General features: G+C 50.1%; 2 protein-coding genes across 4 annotated transcripts in view, besides 10 other annotated features; one reads left to right on the plus strand and one right to left on the minus strand.

Moving 5' to 3' along the window:
• RHPN2 (rhophilin Rho GTPase binding protein 2) overlaps window positions 1–4,652 on the minus strand; it is an 86,297-nt gene extending 81,645 nt beyond the window's left edge. Inside the window, exon 1 of the mRNA NM_033103.5 lies at window positions 4,548–4,652. Coding sequence (NP_149094.3) covers window positions 4,548–4,616 — 69 coding nt within the window. The 5' untranslated portion in view covers window positions 4,617–4,652. The remainder of the gene's footprint in view (window positions 1–4,547) is intronic.
• Window positions 3,346–3,974: an enhancer, noted in NCBI's record as "H3K27ac-H3K4me1 hESC enhancer chr19:33554488-33555116 (GRCh37/hg19 assembly coordinates)". NCBI's record gives its function as "activates a minimal SCP1, AML or CMV promoter by ChIP-STARR-seq in primed H9 embryonic stem cells {active_cell/tissue: H9 hESC(primed)}" and the evidence as "EXISTENCE:reporter gene assay evidence [ECO:0000049][PMID:30033119]".
• Window positions 4,260–4,479: a silencer, noted in NCBI's record as "silent region_10488". NCBI's record gives its function as "represses an Ori minimal core promoter by ATAC-STARR-seq in GM12878 lymphoblastoid cells {active_cell/tissue: GM12878}" and the evidence as "EXISTENCE:reporter gene assay evidence [ECO:0000049][PMID:35858748]".
• Window positions 4,540–5,039: a silencer, noted in NCBI's record as "silent region_10489". NCBI's record gives its function as "represses an Ori minimal core promoter by ATAC-STARR-seq in GM12878 lymphoblastoid cells {active_cell/tissue: GM12878}" and the evidence as "EXISTENCE:reporter gene assay evidence [ECO:0000049][PMID:35858748]".
• Window positions 5,187–5,686: an enhancer, noted in NCBI's record as "H3K27ac hESC enhancer chr19:33556329-33556828 (GRCh37/hg19 assembly coordinates)". NCBI's record gives its function as "activates a minimal SCP1, AML or CMV promoter by ChIP-STARR-seq in primed H9 embryonic stem cells {active_cell/tissue: H9 hESC(primed)}" and the evidence as "EXISTENCE:reporter gene assay evidence [ECO:0000049][PMID:30033119]".
• Window positions 5,938–6,107: an enhancer, noted in NCBI's record as "experimental_51002 CRE fragment used in MPRA reporter constructs". NCBI's record gives its function as "activates a minimal promoter by MPRAs in K562 erythroleukemia cells, with activity observed for both the introgressed and non-introgressed 19:33557165 variant alleles {active_cell/tissue: K562}" and the evidence as "EXISTENCE:reporter gene assay evidence [ECO:0000049][PMID:34662402]".
• Window positions 15,697–15,866: an enhancer, noted in NCBI's record as "experimental_51016 CRE fragment used in MPRA reporter constructs". NCBI's record gives its function as "activates a minimal promoter by MPRAs in K562 erythroleukemia cells, with activity observed for both the introgressed and non-introgressed 19:33566924 variant alleles {active_cell/tissue: K562}" and the evidence as "EXISTENCE:reporter gene assay evidence [ECO:0000049][PMID:34662402]".
• Window positions 20,840–21,169: an enhancer, noted in NCBI's record as "active region_14437". NCBI's record gives its function as "activates an Ori minimal core promoter by ATAC-STARR-seq in GM12878 lymphoblastoid cells {active_cell/tissue: GM12878}" and the evidence as "EXISTENCE:reporter gene assay evidence [ECO:0000049][PMID:35858748]".
• Window positions 20,945–24,909, plus strand: part of GPATCH1 (G-patch domain containing 1) — a 49,362-nt gene continuing 45,397 nt past the window's right edge. For all 3 annotated transcript variants that reach the window (NR_135270.2, NM_018025.3, XM_006723255.5), the window contains exon 1: window positions 20,945–21,030. Coding sequence is in view for 2 of the 3 variants with exons in the window: in NM_018025.3 (NP_060495.2) it covers window positions 20,958–21,030 (73 nt within the window). In the remaining variant the exon portion in view is untranslated. The remainder of the gene's footprint in view (window positions 21,031–24,909) is intronic.
• Window positions 22,805–23,305: an enhancer, noted in NCBI's record as "H3K4me1 hESC enhancer chr19:33573947-33574447 (GRCh37/hg19 assembly coordinates)". NCBI's record gives its function as "activates a minimal SCP1, AML or CMV promoter by ChIP-STARR-seq in naive H9 embryonic stem cells {active_cell/tissue: H9 hESC(naive)}" and the evidence as "EXISTENCE:reporter gene assay evidence [ECO:0000049][PMID:30033119]".
• Window positions 23,276–23,445: an enhancer, noted in NCBI's record as "experimental_51021 CRE fragment used in MPRA reporter constructs". NCBI's record gives its function as "activates a minimal promoter by MPRAs in K562 erythroleukemia cells, with activity observed for the non-introgressed 19:33574503 or rs7250177 variant allele {active_cell/tissue: K562}" and the evidence as "EXISTENCE:reporter gene assay evidence [ECO:0000049][PMID:34662402]".
• Window position 23,361: a transcriptional cis regulatory region, noted in NCBI's record as "Neanderthal adaptively introgressed variant 19:33574503 (GRCh37/hg19 assembly coordinates) or rs7250177 in the experimental_51021 CRE". NCBI's record gives its function as "modulates activity of the experimental_51021 enhancer by MPRAs in K562 erythroleukemia cells {active_cell/tissue: K562}" and the evidence as "EXISTENCE:reporter gene assay evidence [ECO:0000049][PMID:34662402]".

Here is a 24,909-nt window from a genome sequence, read left to right on the forward strand (position 1 = left end):
CCCAGGCTCAGCGATCCTGCTGCCTCAGCCTCCTGAGTAGGTGGGACCATAGCTGGGTGCCACCACACCTGGCTAATAGGCAGGCATTTTGGATTCTCATTGGCAGCTCCTTCCCTGCCAATCACATCAGTTCTTTCCCTCTCTGCCAGATATTGCCCTTTCTCCAGCTCTATCATTCCAACCTCCTCATCACTAGAATCCCTGCCTTCTGTGTGGACCCCTGGTCTGAGCTAAGGGTGCAAGCTGGTGGAAAGAATGGGTGATTGAGGCTGTGTTTACACGGCCGTTTCTTTGTTTGTTTGTTTGTTTTTTGTGAGACAAGGTCTCACTCTGTCATCCAGGCTGGAGTGCAGTGACATGATAACAGCTCACTGCAGCCTCAACCTCGTGGGCTCCGGATATCCTCCCACCTAGGCCTCCTGAGTATATGGGATTACAGGAACACAACACTATGCCAGGCTGATTTTTAAACTTCTTATAGAGATGGGGTCTTGCTTATTGCCCAGAGTGGGCTTGAATTCCTGGCCTCAAGCAATCCTCCCACCTTGGCCTCCCAAAATGCTGAGATTACAGGTGTGAGGCACTGCACCCCACTCACAGCACTGTCACTGACTGCATCATCAGTAGTCCGTAAAAGAGAAGGAAGGGCAAAGATGATAGGTATTACAAGGGGCTAAATCCTCCCAATGCCTCCCTGCCTGGCTCCACCATAGCTTCTTTCCCATTCGCCACCCATTCACCATTCACGTGTCAAAGCGGTCTTTTTCTTACACAAATCTCACAGGTCTGGTCCTGCTTTAAATACTTTGATGGATTCCACAGTTCCCAGGTCAAGCAAGATGCATGACCCTGAACTGCCTGGCTCCCACAAACACCTCCACACCCTGGGGGGGCCTACAAAGCACTCACAAGTCCACAGCTCTGTCCAAGCTGTTCCCTCTTCCTGAAGGGCTCTTTCTCTCCTTTCACCTGGACAGCACCTGCCTTTCTTTTTTTTTTTTTTTTTTTTTGAGACGGAGTCTCGCTCTGTCACCCAGGCAGTGGCGCAATCTCGGCTCACTGCAAGCTCCGCCATTCTCCTGCCTCAGCCTCCCGAGTAGCTGGGACTACAGGCACCCGCCACCACGCCCGGCTAATTTTTTGTATTTTTAGTAGAGACGGGGTTTCACTGTGTTAGCCAGGAAGGTCTCGATCTCCTGACCTCGTGATCCACTAGACTCAGCCTCCCAAAGTGCTGGGATTTTTTTTTTTTTTTGGGTTGCAGGGGTACGGAGTCTCACTCTGTTGCCCAGGCTGGAGTGCAGTGGCACAATCTCAGCTCACTGCAACCTCCGCCTCCTGGGTTCAAGCGAGTCTCCTGCCTCAGTCTCCCAAGTAGCTGGGATTACAGGCGCCTGCCGCTACACCCGGCTAATTTTTATATTTTTAGTAGAGACAGGGTTTCACCATGTAGGCCAGGCTGGTCTCGAACTCCTGATCTCAAGTGATCCACCTGCCTCAGCATCTCAAAATACTGGGATTACGGGTGTGAGCCACCACGCCTGGTCAGCACCTGCCTTTCATTCGGCCATTTGGTTTTGTTTTGTTTTCATTTTTATTTTTAAAATTTTTTATAGAGCCAAGGTCTTGCTATGTTGCCCAGGCTGGTCTGGAACTCCTGGCTTCAAGAGATCCGCCTGCCTCGGCCTCCCAAACTACTGGGATTACAGGTATGAGCCACCACACCCGACCCTCATTTGCTTTAGGTCAAACTGGCTCAGGTCATAGATCAGGAAAGATTCAGCATCAACACCTTTTATTTTCCTAGGATAAATAGACTCTTCGAACTGGTATGACTTAACATGGAGTAGCACAACAATTGTTACAAGGTCTCATTTTCAAAATTGATGATTTTAATTGTAAAACAATGATTCCTCTTATTTTGCACCCCTGATTCTCTCATCCAACACCAGAGAAACTGCATCTAAAAAACACCCCACTTTAGGAGGCCGAGGTGGGTGGATCACCTGAGGTCAGGAGTTCAAGACCAGCCTGGCCAACATGGCAAAACCTTGCCTCTACTAAAAATACAAAAGTTAGCCAGGCGTGGTTGATATGCGCCTGTAGTCTCAGCTACTGGGAAGGCTGAGGCGGGAGAATCACTTGAAACTGGTAGATGGAGGTTGCAGTGAGCCGAGATCGCGCCACTGCACTCCAGCCTGGGTGACAGAGCGAGACTCCATCTCAGGGGGAAAAAAAAAAAAACACCTGTAGCCGGGCGCAGTGGCTTACACCTGTAATCCCAGCACTTTGGAAGGCCATGGCAGGTGGATCACTTAAGGTCAGGAGTTCAAGACTAGCCTGGGCAACACGGTGAAACCCCGTTTCTACTAAAAATACAAAAAATTAGCCAGGTGTGGTGGCAGGCGCCTGTAATCCCAGCTACTTCGGAGGCTGAGGCAGAACTGCTTGAACCCCGGAGGCAGAGGTTGCAGTGAGCCGAAATCACACCACTGCACTCCAGCCTGAGCGACAGAGTGAGACTCTGTTTCATAATAATAATAATAATAATAATAATAATAATAATAATTAATAAATGAAAAACACCCAACTGTGCACCTTTCCTAGCTCTCTTGCCATCCACTCTTTCCCAGTGCGGAGCAAGAAGTCCTCCCCTGGGCTCACAGACACGGAGGGCTCCCACAGGAAAATGTGTTCTGGGAGGCTTGGGACCACCCCTCACAGGTGTGCTTCTCTTGCTGCCATTTTCCCCCAGGTGCTGCTGGAGTTCCAGAGCTACACCTGCTCAGAGAACAATCTGGGGAGGAAATGTCCCAGAAAGAGGCAGCAACTTGCGGGAGGCCACACAGCAATTTTGTGGGAGTGGCAGTCAGGCCCCGGGGCCCGAGGACAGACATAGGAATTCCCAGGCCAGGCCTCCTCCTGCAATTCCATGGCCTGTGATCCTCTGTCCCAAACGCCACACATAATTAGAAGTTATAATCCTGTAATTCCATGATGACATCTTTAAACTTAAATATACCTCAAAACTACTTTTTTTTTTTTTAATGCTAAAAGCAACTTCACAAAAAAGAAGTTTTCCCACTCTGCCCCACACTGTCCTGCCCAGGGCTCCTCACCAGTGAGCAAAGCCCACAGTCTCTCTGTGTCACCTGGGAGAAGGAGGAAGATGCCAAGACCATTTAAGAACTGGATCCTAAGGCTTTGAACAATTAAGAATTGATTCGTTTATGGGAAAGTTTCACTTCCCTATTTATAATTATGCACTGTCGTATCTATTATAAAAACGAAAATCAACAACAATCTCTCCACCCTCTCAGTGATCCCTGGCCAAGGGCCAAAAGCTATTTTTAGACTTGCTCAGGACCTAGAGGGAGGAAGGCTTGGAAGGCATCACCATGACTCCCGGCTCCAAAGCATCTTTGTAGCCCAGGCCCTGCCGCCTGCGGGTATCCCAGGGCCCCTGCTCCACAGGCTGGGGTCGCTTTTGAGGGACTGAGCTCCCTGACTGTTATCTTCTGGGCCCAAGAGCTCCTGGACATGCCAAGAACCTGCGAGGCCGGCACCCGCCACCCGCCGCCCGCCGCCCGCCGCCCGCCGCCAGCCCCCGCCAAGTCTCCCGGACAACAAGACAAATCCGCTTTGGCACACAGTGAGACGCACAAGACCGTGGGCCTCACCTGCGGTGCTCACGCCCTCCTGGACGACCCGGAGCGGAGGAGGGTGCAACGCCGGAGGCTCCCTCCCACCAGCAGCTCTCCCCTGCTCCCTGAAAAGTCCCACAGGCGGACTTTGGAAGCATTTTGGAGGCAAAAAGAGACCGCCGGCCGGGCGCAGTGGCTCACGCCTGTAATCCCAGCACTTTGAGAGACCGGGGCGGGAGGATCCCTTGAGCCCAAGAGTTCGCGACCAGTCTGGGCAACACAGCGATACCCCAGTTCTACAAAAAATTAGCGTGGCGAGGTGGCGCGCCTGCAGTCCCAGTTACTCGGGAGGCTGGGGCGGGAGGATCGCTGGAGGCCAGGAAGTCGAGGCTGCAGTGAGCTATAATCGCGCCACTCTACTCCAGCCTGGGCGACAGAGCGCCTAAAATAAATATGAGACCGCCAACACGCCTGGGATGGTCTGTCTCCACCCGCGCTCCCACCAAGCGCTCTTGCAACGCGCCCAGAGGCCAAGGGCGCCAGCGCAGCCAGGAACGGGTCCTTTCCCCAGGCACCAGGGATCGCAAGCGAGGGGTGGCGGGGGGTGGGAGGGGGGAGACCCAAGCACCCCTCCAGGTCCTCCGCCCGCACCTGCGCGGAGCGGCCACATGCGCCTCCCCTACTCCCCGCCCAGTCCCGGATGCCACCTGCCCGGGACGCCGGGGACATCGCCGCCCCCACTCCTCCCCGCCAGCCTCCGTCCGGCCAGCGCCGGCCCAGTGCGCCCCCTCCCCCTCCCGGCCTAGTGGACCCCGACTGCGCGCTCCCACGGCCCCTGCAGGGCCCGGGGGAAAGGAGGTCTGGAGCCCGCAGGTCCCCGCCCGCCCGCCCGAAGCCGCCCACCTTCCGAAAGTAGCCGTCGTTCTCCTTCTCCAGCGGCTGGGGGGCCGCGGGCAACAGCGCGTCGGTCATGCTAGCGGCGCGGGCGCGGAGGGCGGACGGCGGACTGAGGCGCGGCGGCTGAGGCTGGCCCGAGAGGACGTGCGGCCCCGCCCCTGTCCCCGCCCTTCCCCGCCCCTCCACTCCCACCCCGTCCCGCGGCCCTTCTAGCCCCGCCTGAGGCCGAGCACTGGAGCCCTGGAGACGCGCCCCGCCCCGTCGCGGGCCCCGAACCCGCGCCCCTTGAGGCGCTCGTCACCCGGAGAGCTGCGCCCTGGGCGCGGCGCCTCGGGGTTGTCTGTGGGCGTCGTGGCTGACTCAACTTTGCGAGTGCCGCGAGAGCGCAGGAAAGGCACTGGGGTCTCAGGGGCCGCAGCGAAGCCCTGGCTGTGGACCTGCACCCTGCCCTGGAGCCCGGGGAGTCAGTGAGGAAGGCGTGGATCCAGGCGCGTCCCTCCTGGGTGAAGCCCGTGCGCCGCGGGGGAAGGGGCCAGACTCGACGCCACGTCGAGGGCGCGGCGGGAGCTCTGGGCCCTGGGCCCGGCGGTTTGGAAAAGCTTTTCCCAAGAGGGGAGCCCATGGCGGAGGGAGCGTTGACTGCCCCGCCGAGCGCCTTGCCCGGACTACTCGGGCTTGTTGGCATGGGATCAACTCAGCCGATTCCCTGTCCGCGCTGCAAAGACGAGTGGGATCCGCTGGGCTCGCGGACTGCCCTGAGAGAGGGGACCAGGAGGGGTTTTGCGCCCCAGACACGGCAGATGTCCTTGAGCACAGTTCTTTTTTTTAAGAGATGGGACCTCGCTCTGTCGCCCAGGCTGGAGAGCAGTGTTGCGATCTCGACTCTTTGCAGCCTCGACCTCCCAGGATCAAGCGATGCTCCAGCCTCAGCCTCCCAAGTAGCAGGGGCTGCAGGCGCGGGCCAACGCGCCCGGCCTTTTTATTTATTTTTTTTATTTTTTTATTTGAGACGGAGTCTCGCCCTGTCGCCCAGGCTGGAGTGCAATGGCGCGATCTCGGCTCACTGCAACTTCCGCCTCCCGGGTTCAAGCGATTCTCCTGCCTCAGCCTCCCGAGTAGCTGAGACTACAGGCGTCCACCACCACACCCAGCTAATCTTCAGTAGAGACAGTTTCACCTTGTTGGCTAGGCTTGTCTTGAACTCCTGACCTTGTGATCTGCCCACCTCGGCCTGCCTCCCAAAGTGCTGGGATTACAGCTTTTGTTTTGTTTTGTTTTGTTTTGTTTTTAAATAGATGCGGGGTCTCACCATGATATCAAGGCTGGCCTCGAACTCCCGACCTTAAGTGATCCTCACTCGTCTCGCTCTGTCGCCCAGGCTGAAGTGCAATGGCGCGATCTCGGCTTACTGCAAGCTCCGCCCCCCGGGTTCATGCCATTCTCCTGCCTCAGCCTCCCGAGCAGCTGGGACTACAGGCGCCGGCTACCACGCCCGGCTAATTTTTTTGTATTTTTAGTAGAGACGGGGTTTCACAGTGTTTTCCAGGATGGTCTCGATCTCCTGACCTCGTGATCTGCCCGCCTCAGCCTCCCAAAGTGCTGGGATTACAGGCGTGAGCCACCGCACCCGGCCGTGGAGCACGGTTCTTAACCACCTCCGTTTTCTAGGCTGCAAAATGGGGCTCTTTTATTATTCTTGGATTCTTTTTTTCTCGGGCTGATGGAGGGCAGTAGGACAAAAGTGAGTGTTGGAAAGTAGGGATGAACTTAGTTTAGGAGGGAAAGGGTGACCCATGGGGACAGGGTTTGTATCAGTCTGCCACCAACCTCCTGCTGGCTGCTAGACTCTGTGGGCAGACGCCTGGCAGCACGTGAAGCCAGGACCTTGCCACCTAAGCAGGGACACCCAGCCCGCGGGCCATGCTCCTCCCGGCCGCTGCTTACTGTTACAACTGCTTCTCCCCCAGCAAAGGGACCGCCCTCAGCGGTCGCGATAGATGCCACAGGTGGAACAGAATGCAATGTGCTGCAAAACCAGCCCAGCGTTAACATATCTTTAAAAAAAAAAAAAAAAAGTCCGGGCGCGGAGGCTCACGCCTGTAATCCCAGCACTTTGGAAGGCCGAGGCCGAGGCCGAGGCTGAGACTGGTGGATCACCTGAGGTCAGGAGTTTGAGACCGGCCTGGCCAACATGGTGAAACCCCGTCTCTACTAAAAATACAAAAATTAGCCAGGCGTGGTGGTGGGCACCTGTAATCTCAGCTACTGGGGAGGCTGAGGCAGGAAAATCACTCAAACTCGGGAGGCGGAGGTTGCAGTGAGCCAAACCGAGACCTTGAGACTGCCCACTGCACTCCAGCCTGGGCGACAGAGTGGGACCTTGTTTCAAAACAACAAAAAACGTTAGTCATTGGAAACATAGTAGAGGTTGCAGCTGTCAGGGACGTTTCTGAAGCCAGTGTCTTCGAGCCTATGCGCTTCCTAAACCGCACGTGAAGCTACTGGGTTGGTCCAAAGGTAATTGCAATTACTGGGTGAGTTGTGCCAGTCACAGAAATGTAATCAGGAATTCAGCTCCTGTAGCCTGAAAGGACAGAACACCCTCATCCAGATTTAATCCTGCAGGTGCTGCCCCAGGACCTCCACCAAAGCCCCTTAGGAGCTAAGTCCTTGAGGATTGAAGAAAAACTCCTCCGGGGAAAAAAAATTACATTAAAAAAAAAGAAGAAGAAGAAACAACTATCAATCTAATTTCAGCACTCACAGGTCACACTATTACTTGTAAACAGCTACTACTGTTTCAAGGATCAGGAAGTTGTGGGCCACTCTCTTACCTTCATAATACTAATAAACGTATCAATAATAGAGCCTCTACTCTAGCCAGGGAGTTTATAGATACTATGTTTCGTTCTTGAGACCCTTCTGCAAATAAAAGCAATAACCTTCATTCAACAGATGAGAAGAGCAAGGCTCAGAGCAATGAAGTGGCCACCAGCACTCCCCTTGCTGGCTGAGGTCATTGCCTACCACCTTTGGATTTTTGCCATCTTTTTCTGCCAACTTAAAGCTCAAATTGCCTTTACAATTTGTCGCACATAATGCCATCTGTACTGCTGTTAACTTAATAATCTTTTTTTTTTTTTTTTAAGACAGGGTCTTGTTCTGTCATCCAGGCTGGAGTGCAGTGGTGCAATCTTGGCTCACTGCAACCTCTGTTTCCCGGGCTCAGATGATCCTCCCACCTCAGCTTCCCAAGTAGATGGAACCACAGGCATGCCCCACCACACTCGGCTAATTTTTTTTTATTTTTTGTAGAGACGGGGTTTCTCCATGTTGCCCAGGCTGGGCTGGAACTCCTGAGTTCAAGTGATCCTCCCACCTCAGCCTCCCAAAGTGGTGGGATTACAGGCATGAGCCACCACGCCTGGCCAATAATCTTTTTTTTAAATTACTTTATTTAAACAAATTAATTAAATTTATTTAGTTAGTTTTTGAGACAGTGTCTCGCCCTGTTGCCCAAGCTGGAGTGCATTGGTATGATTATAGCTCACTGCAGCCTCCAATTCCTGGACTTGAAGGATTCTTCTGCCTCAGCCTCCCAAGTAGTTGGGACAACAGGTGTGCACCACTAACTTGGCTAATTTTTAAATTTTTGTAGAGATGGGGTCTCACTATATTGCTCAGGCTGTTCTCAAACTCCTGGGCTCAAGTGATCCTCCTGCCTTGGCCTCCTAAAGTGCTGAGATTACAGGCATGAGTCACTGTGCCTGGCCCAAATTTTATTTTAAAAGGCAACTATATCACAACCATAAGGGGAAAACCAGTGATACTTTCCCTGTTAGAGGAGAAACATAAAAGTGAATACAATAAAGGGCAAAATATATTATTAAATCTAGCCAGATATCATTGCCTTTTTGAGTTGTTCCTTTTGTTAAAAAGGAAGAAGAGACCAGGCACAGGCTGGAGTGCCGAGATCACACCACTGCACTCCAGCCTGGGTGACACGAGTAAGACCCTGTTTCAAATAAATAAGTAAATAAAAATAACAGCCAGGCATGGTGGCGCATGCCTGTAGTCTCAGCTACTCAGGAGACTGAGGCAGGAGGATTCCTTGAGCCCAGGAGGTGGAGGCTGCAGTGAGCTATGATCGTTGCCACTGCACTCCAGCCTGGGCAACAGACCAAGACCCTGTTTAAAAATAAATAAATAGGCCGGGCACGGTGGCTCACGCCTGTAATCCCAGCACTTTGGGAGGCCGAGGCTGATGGATAATCTGAAGTCAGGGGTATGAGACCAGCCTGACCAACATGGTGAAACGCCGTCTCTACTAAAAAATCAAAACATTAGCTGGGCCTGATGGCACAGGCCTGTGATCCCAGCTACTCAGGAGGCTGAGACAGGAGAATTGCTTTAACCTGGGAGGCAGAGGTTGCAGTGAGCCAACATCGCGCCATTGCACTCCAGCCTGGGCAACAAGAGCGAAACTCCGTCTCAAGAAAATAGTAATAATAAAATAAATAAATAAATAGGCCAGGCGTGGTAGCTTACGCCTATAATCCCAGCACTTTGGGAGGCCGAGGCAGGAGGATCAGGAGGTCAGGAGTTTGAGACCAGACTAACCAACATGGTGAAACCCCGTCTCTACTAAAAATACAAAAATTAGCCGGGCATGGTGGCATGTGCCTGTAATCCCAGCTGTTCAGGAGGCTGAGGCAGGAGAATCACTTGAACCCGGGAGGCAGAGGTTGCAGTGAGCCCAGATTGCGCCACTGCACTCCAGCCTGGAAAACAGAGCAAGACTCTGTCTCAAATAAGTAAGTAAATAAATAAATAAATAATGTAAAAAATAAAAAGGATGAAGAGTAAGAAAAGGACGCGTGGTGTTAAACACACACCAGCCCACCCAAAGACTACCTCCTGAGCATCTTCAGAGGAAAACGGGCTCCTCTCTGTGTAAGTCCCAGCGGGGCATTTCCTGGCCATGTGAGCCATCTGAGTGTCAGTGCTTGGGGCTACATCTGCGCAGAACCAGACATCTTTAGACATTCTCATGACTCATTGCACTGGTACCCACAGGTCTGTTCTTTTATCTCTGATCCCACTTTGACCAGGCAATTAGAACTGCCGCCGCTGACCCAACAGGACAGCAGCATCTCACCTCCTATTTGTCAACCCCATTGGTGGTCTGTGCAACAAGAACCACCCATGAGCCCCTGTGCTACTAACAAAAGAGTTGGGTGGGAACTTCTGAGCTATGCAAAAGATTAAAATCTCAACTGCAAACAACTGTTTTGTTAAGTCTCATTTTACCATCTGGTTTAGGTCAGCAGGTGCCTGTCCAGGGACCCAGTTGGGTGCCTGTCCAGGGACCCAGTTCCTCCAAGTAAAATTCAAGTGTCACGTCCTAAGACCTTCTTGTTGACAAAGGAATGTTGGTTTTTGAGGGCAGCCTGAAATAACATCCTCTCTTGGGGAATCTGATGAAGTTTGCCAAATTAAATGCAGAAATTATAAGATAATCCTTGAATGAATAAAATTCACTGCAAATAGTAAACTCAACTTTGCAATTTTTTTTTTTTTTTTTTGAGACAGAGTCTCCCTCTGTTGCCTAGGCTGGAGTGCAGTGGCACGATCTCAGCTTACCGCAACCTCCACCTCCCAGGTTCAAGTGATTCTCCTGCCTCAGCCTCCCTAATAGCTGGGATTACAGGCGCGCACCACCACGCCTTGCTGATTTTTTGTATTTTTAGTAGAGATGGGGTTTCAGCATGTTGGCCAGGCTGGTCTTGAACTCGTGATCTCAGGTGATCCACCTGCCTCGGCCTCCCAAAGTGCTGGGATTACATGCATGAGCCACCATGCTTGGCCCATTTTGCAATTTTTGTAAAAATAATTCTTAGAAATTACCAGGCCCAGTGGCTCTCACCTGTAATCCCAGCACATTAGGAGGCCAAGGCAGGAGGATCACTTGAGCCCAGGAGTTCAAGACCATCCTGGGCAACATACTGAAACATCCATCTCTACAAAAAAATTTAATTAATTAGCCAGGAGTGGCCGGGCGCAGTGGTTCACGCCTGTAATCCCAGCACTTTGGGAGGCTGAGGCGGAGGGATCACTTGCGGTCAGAAGTTCGAGACCTGCCTGGCCAACATGGTGAAACCCTGTCTCTACTAAAAATGCAAAAAATTAGCTGGACTTAGTGGTGGGCACCTGTGATCCCAGCTACTCAGGAGGCTGAGGCAAGAGAATCTCTTAAACTCAGGAGATGAAGGTTGCAGTGAGCCAGGATCGCACTACTGCACTTCAGCCTGGGCAACAGAGTGAGACTCCATCACACACACACACACAAAAAGCCAGGAGTGGTAGCACATGCCTGCAGTTCCAGATACTCAGGAAGTTGAGGCAGAAGGATTTCTTGAGCACAAGAGTTCAAGACTGCAGTGAGCCAAGATTACACCACCGTACTCCAGCCTGGGCTACAGAGCAAGATACTGTCTTATAAAGAAAAAAAAAAAATTGGCCAGGCGCGATGGCTCACACCTGTAATCCCGGCACTTTGGGAGCCTGAGGTGGGTGGATCACGAGGTCAGGAGATCGAGACCATCCTGGCTAATACGGTGAAACCCCGTCTCTACTAAAAATACAAAAAATTAGCCAGGTGTGGTGGCATGCGCCTGTAAGGTCCCAGCTACCCAGGATGCTGAGGCAGGAGGACGGCGTGAACCCGGGAGGTGGAGGTTGCAGTGAGCTGAGATGGCACCACTGCACTCCAGCCTGAGCGACAGAGTGAGACGTCGTCTCAAAAAAAAAAAAAAAAAAAAAAATTAAAATTCTCAGAAATTTAAGCCATTTGGTGCCATGGAGGAACACCAACTAGAGAGGACCACATCAAGTTCAGCAGGCTCAAAGTCCCCTTAGCCACACCCTTTTGGCCCTCACAGTCTCAGTTTTCCCCACTTTACTAAATATATATATACATATTTTTTTTTTCGAGATGGAGTCTTGCTCTGTCCCCCTGGCTGGAGTGCAGTGCAGTGGTGTGATCTCAGCTCACTGCAACCTCTGCCTCCTGAGTTCAAGCTATTCTCCTGCCTCAGCCTCCCGAGTAGCTGAGATCTTAGGCATGTACCACCATGCCTGGCTAATTTTTGTATTTTTAGTCAGGCTAAATTATATTGATCAGGCTAGTCTCGAACTCCTGATCTCAAGTGATCCGCCCGTCTCAGCCTCCCAACATGCTGGGATTACAGGCGTGAGCCACCGCGCCCAGTCTACAATAAATTCTTACACATAGCTGTCATTTCCTGCATACTTATTCCGTGCCAGGTGCTGTCCTAAGTACACTGCATGCATTAGCTCAGTTCTCCCACAACCCTGTGAGGTAGGTACTTTATCATCCCCTTTTTACAGAGAAGGAAGCTGAGCCTCAGAGGTCACCAGCCTCCTAAGTGGCAGAGTCAGGGCTGTCTGATGCTATGCTATACACTATACTGTATTACACTCTTCCCTAGTACTTAAAAGGAAAAGTGTTTTGACATATAGGGAGGAAGTGATTGTGGATTAAAAATAAATGAATTACAAGCCTGGGCAACATGGTGAAACTGTATCTTTACAAATGATACAAAAATTAGCCAGGTGTGGTGGCACGTGCCTGTAGTCCCAGCTACTTGGGAGGCTGAGGCAGGAGGATTGCTTGAACCTGGGAGGTGGAGGCTGCAGTGAGCCCAGATGGTGCCACTGCACTCTAGCCTGGGGGACAAAGTGAGACTCTGTCTCAAAAAAAATAAAAAAATAAATAAAGAATAAATGAATTACAGGGATGGCAAACAATACCAAGTACTGGTGAGACTGTGGAATCTCATATATTGCTTATGGGAGTGTAAATTGGGATGACCACACTGGAAAATTGTTTGACATTTGCTACTAAAGAATATATGTGGGCCAGGTGCCGTGGCTCATGCCTGTAATCCCAACACTTTGGGTGGCCGAGGTGGGTGGATCACTTGAGGTCAGGAGTTAAGACCAGCCTGGCCAACATGGTGAAACCCTGTCTCTACTAAAAATACAAAAATTAGCTGAGCATGGTGGTGGATACCTGTAAGCCCAGGTACTCGGGAGGCTGAGGCAGGAGAATCACTTGAACCCGGCAGGCAGAGATTGCAGTGAACCAAGATCATGCCATTGCACTCCAGCCTAGGCAACAAAAGTGTAACTCCATCTCAAAAAAAAAAGAAAATATGCATGCAACTTATGATCCAGAAATTCCAACTCTAGGTAGATACACAACAGAAATGCATACATCTATTTACTATAAAACAGGAATCAGAATATTCACAGCTGCACTATTCAAAATAGCGTGGCCAAATGCGGTGGCTCACGACAGTAATCCCAACACTTAGGGACGCAGAGGTAGGAGGATCGTTTGAGCCCAGGTGTTGAGACCAGCCTGTGCAACATAGTGAGACCCCATCTCTGAAAACCAAAAAAAAAAAAAAAAAGCCTCTAACTAGAAAGTACCCAAATGCCAATCCACTATAGAACAAATGAGTGTGAATGGTGGTATATTCACACAATAGAAAATTGCACACAATGAAAATTAACACATTGCTATTATGTGCAACAACATGGATAAATGTCACAAAAATATTATTGAGCAAAGAAAACTAGACACAAATACTGTATCATTCCATTTTATTTGTATTTATTTATTTTTTTCCTGAGACTGTGTTTTGCTCTTTCGCCTAGGCTGGAGTGAAGTGGCAAGATCTCTGCTCACTGCAACCTCCACTCACCGGGTTCAAGTGATTCCCCTGCCTCAGCCTTCTGAGTAGCTGGGATTACAGGCGCGTGCCACCATGCCTGGCTAATTTTTTGTAATTTTAGTAGAGATGGGGTTTCACCATGTTGGCCAGGCTGGTCCTGAACTCTTGACCTCAGGTGATCCACCTGCTTTGGTCTCCCAAAGTGTTAGGATTACAAGCGTGAGCCACCACCACGCCCAGCCTCCATTTTATATAAAGTACAAAATAGACAAAACTAACCCATTATGGGGTTATTGCTTCTGGGATTCTGGAAATTTTCTATTTCTTGATCTACTTGTTACACAGATATGCTTACTTTGTGAAAATACGCAGAACCAGGCCAGTGTGGTGGTTTGTGCCTGTAATCCCAGCTACTCAGGAGGCTGAGACGGGAGATTGGCTTGACCTCAGGAGCTGAAGATCAGCCTGGGCAACATAAAGAGACCTTTTCTCTACAATTAATAAACAAATTAGCTGGACATGATGGTGCCCGCCTGTAGTCTTAGCTACTTGTGAGGCCGAGTGAGAGGATCACTTGAGGCCAGGAGGTCAAAGCTGCAGTGAGCTGCAATGGCGCTACTATACTACAGCCTGGGCAAGAGTGCAAGACCCTATCTCTTTTTTTTTTTTTTTTGAGACGGAGTCTCGCTCTGTCGCCCAGGCTGGAGTGCAGTAGCACCATCTCGGCTCACTGCAACTTCTGCCTCCTAGGTTCAAGCGATTCTCCTGCCTCAGCCTCCCGAGTAGCCCTATCTCTTTAGGGCCAGGCGCGGTGGCTCATGCCTGTAATCCCAGCACTTTGGGATTGCTGAGGCAGGCGGATCACGAGGTCAGGAGATGGAGACCATCCTGGCTAACACGGTGAAACCCCATCTCTACTAAAAATACAAAACATTAGCCAGGCATGGTGGCACATGCCTGTAGTCCCAGCAACCCAGGAAGCTGAGGCAGGAGAATCGCTTGAACCTGGGAGGTGGGGAGGTTGCAGTAGGCTGAGATGGCGCCACTGCACTCCAGCCTGGGTGACAGAGCAAGGCTCCATCTCAATAAATAAATAAATTAATTAAATAAACAACAAAAATGCATAGAACCATGTGCTCATGATTTATGCACGTTATTTTTTTTTAATTTTCTTAAATTTTAGTCCATGTCCTACTGAACATACATGTTATATTTTAAAAAGGAAAATAATGGGCTGGGCGTAGTGGCTCACGCCTGTAATCTCAGCACTTTGGGAGGCTGAGGCGGGAGAATCACAAGGTCAGGAGTTTGAGACCAGCCTGGCCAACATGGTGAAACACCGTCTCTACTAAATATACAAAAAATTAGCTGGGTGTGGTGGCAGGCGCCTGTAATCCCAGCTACTCGGGAGGCTGAGGCAGGAGAATCGCTTGAACCTGGGAGGCGGAGGTTGCAGTGAGCCAAGATCGCGCCACTACACTCCAGCCTGGGTAACAGTGCAAGACTCCATCTAAAAAAAAAGGAAAACAATGATAAAAATGAGTGATACTGGCCAGGTGCGGTGGCTCACGCCTGTAATCCCAGCACTTTGGGAGGCCAAGGAGGGCAGATCATTTGAGGTCAGTTCAAGACCAGCCTGACCAACATGATGAAACCCCGTCTCTACTAAAAATGGGAAGAAACTAGCCAGGTGTGGTGGCAGGTGCCTGTAATCCCAGCTACTCGGGAGGCTGAGGCAGGAGAATCACTTCAACCCAGGAGGCAGAGGTTGCAGTGAGCAGAGATCGCACCACTGCACTGTAGCCTGTGCAACAGAACAAGACTCGGTCTCAAAAACAACAACAACAAAAACAAAACAAAACAAAAAAAGAGTGATAACTGTTTTCAAAGCACATTGGGTGGGTTTCCGTGCATGTTATGAGTGACCATCACACTGCCAGCACCCATGCATGGACCCAGAGGAAGGAATGACACTGGGCCCAGGTGATTCAGCCCATCTTCCTATCTGCAGTTTCCTCATAAGGTCCTGAGATTTGCACTTTCTTGCATGTCTGAATAAGAAAGCAAGCAAGCCTATATTGGCTTATACCTTGCCATAAATATAAATACATAAATAAGAGGCCAGGCACCATGGCTCATACCTGTAATCCCAGTGCTTTGGGAGGCCAAGGCAGGAGTATCACTTGAGCCTTGGTGTTCAAGACCAGCCTGGGCAACACAGCAAGACCCCGTCTCTACAAAAAATAGAAAAATTAGCCAGGCTTGGTGGCACATACCTGTATTCCCAGCTATTCAGAAGGCTAGGTTAGTAGGATTGTTTGAGCCCGGGAGTTCCAGGCTGCATTGCACTCCAGCCTGGGTGACAGACTGAGACCCTGTCTCTAAAAAATAAATAAATAGAACAGAAAGAAAGGAACGGTTTGTGGGCTGGGTGTGGTGGCTTATGCTTGTAATCCCAGCACTTTGAGAGGCTGAGGTAGGAGGATCACTGGCACCCAGGAGCTTGAGACCAGCCTGGGCAACACTGCAAAATTGCTTCTTTACAAAAAATACAAGTATTAGCCAGGCATGGTTGTACATGTCTGCAGTCCCAGCTACTTGGGAGGCTGGGATGGGAGGACTCCCTGAACCTGGAGAAGTTGAGGCTGCAGTGAGCCATGATCGTGCCACTGCACTCCAGCGACAGAATGAGACCCTGTCTCAAAAAAAAAGAAAAGAAAAGCTATGTGGTGGCCAGGTGCGGCGGCTCATGCCTGTAATCCCAGCACTATGGGAGGCCGAGGAGGGCAGATCACTTGAGGTCAGGAGTTTGAGACCAGCCTGGACAACATGGTGAAACCCTGTCTCCACTGAAAAAACAAAAATTAGCCAGGCGTGGTGGCGCCTGTAATCTCAGCTACTCGGGAGGCTGAGGCAGGAGAATCACTTGAACCCGGGCAGCGGAGGCTGCAGTGAGCCACGATGCCGCCACTCCAGACTGGGTGCTAGAACAAGACTCAGTCTCAAAAATAAAATAAAATAAAATAAAATAAAATAAGATAAACTAAAATAAAATAAAAAAGTTATTGGGTGTTCTTTGCCTATTTTGAAGCTACAAGCTGTAAGAAAATTACGAGTAATATAGAAATAAAATCATGGACTTTGGTGTTTTGTCTGAATATATGAATTTGTCCCCAATCTTTTTTACTTTCTTTTACTTTTTCTTTTCTTTACTTTTTTTTTTTTTTTCTTGAGACGGAGTTTTGCTCTTGTTGCCCAGGCTGGAGTGCAATGGCATGATCTTGGCTCACTGCACCTTCTGCCTCCTGGGTTCAAGTGATTCTTCTGCCTCAGCCTCCCGAGTAGCTGGGATTACAGGCATGCGCCACCATGCCCAGCTAATTTTGCATTTTTAGTAGAGACAGGGTTTCTCCATGTTTGTCAGGCTGGTCTCAAACTCCTGACCTCAGGTTATCTGCCTGAGTGCTGGGGTTATAGGCGTGAGCCACTGCACCCGGTTTCTTTTACTTTTTCTTTGAGACAGCGTCTCATTCTGTCACCCAGGCTGCAGTGCAGTAGCGCAAATTCTGCTCACTGCAGCCTCTGCCTCTGGGGCTCAATTGATTCTCCCATATCAGCCTCTGGAGTAGCTGGGACTACAGACACGCACCACTATGCCTGGCTAATCTTTGTATTTTTTGTAGAGGTAGTTTTGGCATGTTACCCAGGCTGGTCTTGAACTCCTGGGCTCAAGTGATCCTCCTTACATGGCCTCCCAAAGTGCTGGGATTATGGACTTGAGCCACTTCGCCCAACTTTCTTTACTTTCTTTTTTTTTTTTTTTTTTTGAGACAGAGTCTTTGTCGCCCAGACTGGAGTGCAGTGGCACAATCTTGACTCACTGCAAATTCTATCTCTCAGGTTCAACTGATTCTCATGCCTCAGCCTCCCAAGTAGCTGGGACTACAGGCATGAGGCACCACACCTGGCCAATTTTTGTACATTTGGTAGAGACAGGGTCTCACCGTGTTGGCCAGGCTGGTCTCAAACTCCTGATCTCAGATGATCCACTTGCCTCGGCCTCCCAAAGTGCTGGGATTACAGGCGTGCGCCACTGCACCCACCCTGATTAAGTATAGTTTACTATGTTTATTTATCCTCAAACATTCCAAAGCTTGAGGATAGCCACCCAGAAACACCAATTCCAAATGTATAGGGTCAACATTCCAAAGGGGAGCCCAGGCACGATGGCTCACGCCTATAATCCCAACACTGTGGGAGGCTGAGGTGGGAGGATCACTTGAGCCCAGGAGTTTGAGACCAGCCTTAGCAACACAGTGAGACCTGGTCTCTACAAAAAATAAAATAATTAGTTGAGCGTTGTCAACTAGTAGTCCCAGCTACTTGGGAGGCTGAGGTGAGAGGAAGGCTGCAGTGAGCCATGATCCTGCCACTGCACTCCAGCCTGGGTGTCAAAATGAGATATTGTCTCAAAAACGAAAGCAAAAACACACAAAAAAAGCATTCCAAAGTGGAGAAGTTACGGTTTCACTTATATAGGCAGAGACATACAATCCTTACAGTGACTTGACTAGCTATAGGATGCTACCTTCCAAGGAAGATTGCTTTATTACTCTGTGAGGGGTGTACCCGTCTGAGGAAGTCTTATCTCTGCCCTGTTTGGTCTTAGTTATTTCTAGGGTAAAAGGGGCAGAAGGTACAGCTGCTCGCCATGTGATTCATGCTGCATAACCACATTCCTCTCAAGTTTCAGGATCATTTACAATTCCAACAGCAGCTGGGCGTGGTGGCTGGTGCCTGTAGTCCCAGTACCAGGGATGTTGAGGCTGGAGGATTGCCTCAGCCCAGTAGTTTGAGGCTGCAGTGAGCTATGATTGCATCACTGCACACCAACCCTGCCTCTAAAAAATAATAATATCAACAATAAAGTTCCAACAGCTTTAAGTTTGAATTATTTAATTCCACAACTCATTTATCAACATATGTTGCAGATAACTCATGGGGAGTTTAAAATACTCATAGTATTGTCACAGGTTATAGGTTTTTCTGATTACGTATTGCTGTTAATGAATTATCCCATATCTTTTTGTTGCTGTTGTTAGAGACAGGGTCTTGCTATGTTGCTCAGGCTGGCCTCTGATTCCTGGGCTCAAGTGATCCTCCTGTTTCACCCTCCCAAGTACTGTCACTAAACCTGGCTAATTGCTTCATATCTTTTTTATTTTTTTTTTCCCCTTAGAGACAGGGTCTCTATAGACAGAGATCCTCTGTCTATAGAGGATCTATGAGCAAGGTGGCTCATGCCTATAATCCCAGCACTTTGGGAGGCTGAGGTGGGTGGATCACCTGAGGTGAGAAGTTTGAGACCAGCCTTGCCAACATTGCGAAACCCCGTCTCTACTAAAAAAATACAAAAATTAGCCAGGTGTGGTGGCGCACGCCTGTAGTCCCAGCTACTCAGGAGGCTGAGGCAGGAGAATCGCTTGAACCCAGGAGTTGGAGGTTGCAGTGAGACGAGATCGCACCATTGCACTCCAGCTTGGGCAACAGAGTGAGACTCTGTCTAGACAAAGAAAATAAACTAAAAAAAAAAAAAAAAAAGAAAATTACAATTAAATTACAATTACAACTGGAAAGCAGTTGGGAGATTTCCTGAAGAACTTAAAACAGAACTACCATTAGACCCAGCAATCCCATTACTGGGTATATACCCAAAGGAATATAAGTTGTTCTACCATAAAGACAAATGCATGCATATATTCATTGAGGCACTACTCACAATAGCAGAGACATGGAACCAACCTACATGCCCACAAATGGTGGACTGGATAAAGAAAATATGGTCCACATACACCATGGAACACTACACAGCCATAAAAAAAGAACAAGACTGGCCAGGCGTGGTGGCTCATGCCTGTAATCCCAGCACTTTGGGAGGCTAAGATGGGCGGATCACGAGGTCAGGAGATCGAGACCATCCTGGTTAACACGGTGAAACCCCGCCTCTACTAAAAATACAAAAAATTAGCTGGGTGTGGTGGCAGGCGCCTGTAGTGCCAGCTACTCGGGAGGCTGAGGCAAGAGAATGGCGTGCCTGGGGGACAGAGCGAACTCCGTCTCAAAAAAAAAAAAAAAAAGAAACAACAAGACCATGTCCTTTGCAGCAACATAGATGCAGCTGGAGGCCATTATCCTAAACAAACTAATGCAGGAACAGAAAACCAAATACTGCATGTTCTCACGTATAAGTGGGAGCTAAACATTGAGCACACATGGACATAAAGAAGGGAATGACAGGTGCCAGGCGCAGTGGCTCACGCCTGTAATACCAGCATTTTGGGAGGCCGAGGCGGGTGGATCACTTGAGGTCAGGAGTTCAAGACCAGCCTGGCCAACATGGTGAAACCCAGTCTCTACTAAAAATACAAAAAAAAAAAAAAAAAAAAAAAAAAATGGCCGGGTGCGGTGGCTCACATCTGTAATCCCAGCACTTTGGGAGGCCAAGGTGGATGGATCGCCTGAGGTGGGGAGTTCGAGACCAGCCTGACCAACATGGACAAACCCCGTCTCTACTAAAAAAAAAATTACAAAATTAGCCAGACATAGTGGTGCATGCCTGTAATCCCACCTACTAGGGAGGCTGAGGCAGGAGAATCGCTTGAACCCGGGAGGCGGAGGTTGAGGTGAGCCGAGATCGTGCCATTGCACTCCAGCCTGGGCAACAAGAGTGAAACTCTGTCTCAAGAAAAAAAAAAAAAAAACCACCACAACAACCAACCAACCAAACAAACAAAAATTTAGCAGGGCGTGGTGGGGTGGACGCTTATAATCCCAGCTATCAGGAGGCTGAGGCAGGAGAATCACTTGAATCTGGGAGGCGGAGGTTGCAGTGAGCTGAGATCGCGGCCACTGCACTCCAGCCTGGGCGACAGAGCGAGACTCTGTCTCAAAAAAAAAAAAAAAAAAAAAGGGAATAACACCAGGGCCTACTTGAGGGTGGACCTACTTGAGGGTGGAAGGTACGAGGAGGGTGAGGATCGGAAAAACTACCTATTGGGTACTATGCTTATTACCTGGGGAGGAAATAATCTGTAACCCAAATCCCTTGCGACATGCAATTTACCTATATAACAAACTTGCACATGTACCCCTGAACCCAAAATAAAAGTAAAAAATAATAATAATAAAAATAAAGCGAAGCCCCACGGGGCGAGCATGAAATCTGGGAGCTCAGCCATTTCCCTGGAGGTGGCTGGGTGGGCGGTGGGAGTGGACGGGGCTGGGCAGTGACTGCTGCCAAGGCAGGGGGCTGGCGCGAGGGACGGGGGTAGGGGGCTGGGCAGGCATCGGTGTCGCCTCGCAGGGAACAGTTGGGTGGCTTCCAGCTTATGCCAGGAGTCTCCTCCTCACCCGCACATCGCGGGGCTAGGATGGGATGTCGTGGCTGCCAAATCCTCCGAGGCAACTCCTGCCTGGGACGGCCTACCACAGGATGGGCCTGAGAATCCGGAGCGCAGGCTCGGGCCGCTAGGACACCTTCCCCCGCCCGCGGACCCAGCCTTCCAGCATCACCGGGGTTCGCGGAGGAGAAAGAGGAAAGGCGTTTGGCCTGCCAAGGCCGCCGTAGCGAGGGGGCGGGGCCCGGAAGAGCAGGATGGCGGCGCGGGACAGTGACAGCGAAGAAGATCTGGTCAGCTATGGGACCGGGCTGGAGCCTCTGGAAGAAGGTGCGGGCCGCGTGGGCCGGCGGAGCCTGTGGAAAACAGGCCAAGGGCCCAGGATTCGGGCCACAAAAGCACAAGTCGGTGCTGGACCATTGTTAGATCGTTCCCAGCGCTGGGAACACGGCGACGAGGGAGGCGTTAGCCGCGCTCTCGGGGTGCTCACCTTCTGCAGCGACAGAGAGAGGTTTACAGGGACGGGAGACACAAGCGTGGCCGAACAAGGGGGCGGCGAGATAGAAACAAGAAAATGACGGAATAGCTAGTGTGAGAGCGGGGGGTGCTCAGGCAGTGTCTTCCCCGAGAGAGGACGTTTGAGCTCAGACTTGAAACCGAGGAAGAAAACAACCATGAGCAAATCTGGAGGGAAAGCATTTCAGGCAGAAGGAACATAAAGTGGCAAAGGCCCTGAAGTGGGAGCCAGTTTAGGAAATTGAGGGGCAGGCAGGACGGGTATGGTTGCAGCAGATGACAGCGGGGGAGACAGGTAGAAAAGAATGTCAGAGGGGCTGACAGGGGCTGGATCTTACTTGGTAGGGTAAAGAGTTTGGATCTTGTACTAAGTGCAGGATTAGGGTTAGGGTTAGGGTCATGGGAAATTACACAGGGAGGGATATATATATGATTTTTAGAGACAGGGTTTTGCTCTGTTTCCCAGGCTGGTCTTGAACTCCTGACTTCAAGTGATCCTCTCGCTTCTGCCTCCCAAAGTGCAGGGATTACAGGCTTGAGCCACTGTGCTCGGCCAATTTTTAATGTTATTCTATCTTTGATGTTGAGAATACACTGGTTGGGGATGGGTAAGAGTGAAGCAGGGAGATTAGCAAAAAGAGGTCAGGAGATGATGGTGGCATGGATGGGACAGCAGTGGTGGTGGTGTGTAGTGGTCTGGGTGGAGATATATTTTGAAAGCAGAGCTGACCATACTTGCTGGTGGAATGTGGGGGTGAGGGGCAAGATGAATCAAGGTTCTCTCCTGTGTTTCTGGTCTGTTCCACTTAACGACTTGACTTGTTCAGCAAGTTATGTATTGAGTGTCCAGTAAGGGCTGTTGGCTGTGCTAGCCCTGTAGGGAAGGCAGAGGAAGAATGGTGGAATCATTGGGCCACAATTTATTTGCAGACCTCCTGTTGGTGGGGGTCCCCTCCCTTTTTTCACCCTGACCACATCCTGCCAGGTTGATTGTACTTCTGGGATATCTCCACTTATGCCCCCTTTATTTCCTACAAACAGTTCTGGTGGAAACTTCTGCTGGATACTGGCCCTTCTTCTACCCTCGGCTTACAAAAGGTTGAGAAAGGGGCCAGGCACAGTGGTTCACACCTGTAATCCCAGCACTCTGGGAGGCTGAGGTGGGAGGATTGCTTGAGGTCAGGAGTTTGAGACCAGCCTGGGCATTGTAGTGAGACTCTGTCTGTAACAAACAAACAAACAAACGAAACAAAAGGCTGAGAAAGGCTAGTCTTCCGAATGCTTTTTATGTGTTTGAAGTCAGCTGTTGCATTTTCTTAAGACATCTCTGTTCTACACTCACTATCCCAAGTTCTTTTTTTATAGAGACAGGGTCTTGCTGTGTTGACCATGCTGGTTTCAAACTCCTGACCTCAAGCGATGCTCTCACCTTGGCTTCCCAAAGTGCTGGATTGCATGCATGAGCCACAGTGCCCAACATTTTTTATTTTAAAAATAGAGATGAGGCCGGGCGTGGTGGCTCACGCCTGTAATCCCAGCACTTTGGGAGGCCGAGGCGGGCAGATCGCGAATTCAGAAGATCCTAACCATCCTGGCTAACACGGTGAAACCCCGTCTCTACTAAAAATACAAAAAAAAATTAGCTGGGCGTGGTGGGGGGGGGCTCATGTAGTCCCAGCTACTCGGGAGGCTGAGGCGGGAGAATGGCGTGAGACTGGGAGGCAGAGCTTGCAGTGAGCCAAGATGGCGCCACTGCACTCCAGCCTGGGCGACAGAGCGAGACTCTGTCTCAAAAAAAAAAAAAAAAAAAATAGAGATGGGATCCTTCTATGTTGCTCAGGCTGGTCTTGAACTCCTGGCCTCAAGTAGTCTTCCCAGCTCAGCTTCTTAAAGTGTTGGAATTATAGGCGTGACTCTCTACGCCTGGCCCCAACCATGTTTTTGTTTTTTTTTTTTTTCTGTGACAGAGTCACGCTCTGTTGTCCAGGCTGGAGTGCAGTGGCGCGATCTCGGCTCACTGCAACCTCCGCCTTCCAGGTTCAAGCGATTCTCCTGCCTCAGCCTCTCAAGTAGCTGGGATTATAGGTACATTCCACTACGCCTGGCTAATTTTTGTATTTTTAGTAGAGACAGGGTTTCGCCATATTGGCCAGGCTGGTCTTGAAGTCCTTAGGTCAAGCAATCCATCTGCCTTCACCTCCCAAAGTGTTGGAATTACAGGCGTGAGCCATTGCATGTGGCCCCCAACCTTGCTTTTGAAGTGGAAGGAAAGGACATGGATTTGTAGACTTTGTTTTTCTGGACTAAAAACATTCTTTAACTTCTCAGTAATACAAGTTTTTGAGGATTGATTCATTGTCTTCTAAGCACTTTTTTTTGAGAGTTTCGCTCTTGTCACCCAGGCTGGCATGCAATGGTGCGATCTCGGCTCACTACAACCTCTGCCTCCCAGGTTCAAGAGATTCTCCAGCCTCAGCCTCCCGAGTGGCTGGGATTATAGGTGCCCACCACCATGCCCGGCTAATTTTTATATTTTTAGTAGACACAGGGTTTTACCACGTTGGCCAGGCTGGACTCGAACTTCTGACCTCAGGTGATCTGCCTGCCTCGGCCTCCCAAAGTGCTGGGATTACAGGCGTGAGCCACCATGCCCAGCCAGTTTTCTAAGCACTTTGAAATTTAAATGCACTCTGTCTGTATTTTACGATATAACACACTAGACTAATAATTATTTTTACTCCCTGCTTTGAAGTTTTAGTGACAGGTTAGACAGGCATTGGTAGAGGAGAACTCCATTTTAATTAAAGTTGCTGGCCCTGACAGAAAGGTTTATTAGTTAAGAGTTAACCAGGGAGCCTAGTGACAGTGGCTGAACTTTATAGACACATAGGCCTTCTAATCTGGAAAGAAGGGGGCCAGATACTTACCTATTCTTTCCTTAGACACTTCCACTTGGTTCTAGAATTCTTATCTACAGCTCATTCTATACCCAGATTAATTTTAGGGCCAATTTTCTCCTCCTTGATGCTGTGACTCTCACACTTAAAACTAACCGTGGCTTCCCTCGCCCCCAGGACACACTATAAACCCTGCAGCACTATGTTCAAGGCCCCCTGCACTGTCCGCCTTTCTGGTTCCATCTTCCGCTCATTCCTTGGCCTCCCGTTAGACTGGACTTTCTCAATACACCTGACCTTGCCCTTTTTTTTTTTTTCTTTTTTTTTTTGAGATGGAGTCTTGCTCTGCCTCCCAGGCTGGAGTGCAATGGCACGATCTTTGCTCACTGCAACCACCGCCTCCCAGGTTCAAGCGATTCTCCTGCCTCAGCCTCTTGAGTAGCTGAGCTTACAGGCGCATGCCACCACGCCCGGCTAATTTTTGTATTTTTAGTAGAGGCGGGGTTTCACAATGTTGGCCAGGCTGGTCTTGAACTCCTGACCTCAGGTGATCCGCCCGCCTCGGCCTCCCAAAGTGCTGGAATTACAGGCGTGGGCCACTGTGCCCAGCGACTTTGCCCTTTTATCCCTCCTTCTGTTTACTGGTGGGAGTCAGTGGCTCTGTGTCCCTATCTGCAGCTATCAAAATTCTGCTTATTCCTAACGGTGGCTGATGTTGCAGACCTTCTCATTGTCAGAAGTGCTCCAGTACGTGCAGGTCTTCTCTGCTGGGCTCGGAGTGTCCTGAGAACGGGAG

The sequence above is a fragment of the Homo sapiens genome, chromosome 19 (assembly GCF_000001405.40).
Source record: "Homo sapiens chromosome 19, GRCh38.p14 Primary Assembly".
NCBI lineage: Eukaryota > Metazoa > Chordata > Mammalia > Primates > Hominidae > Homo > Homo sapiens.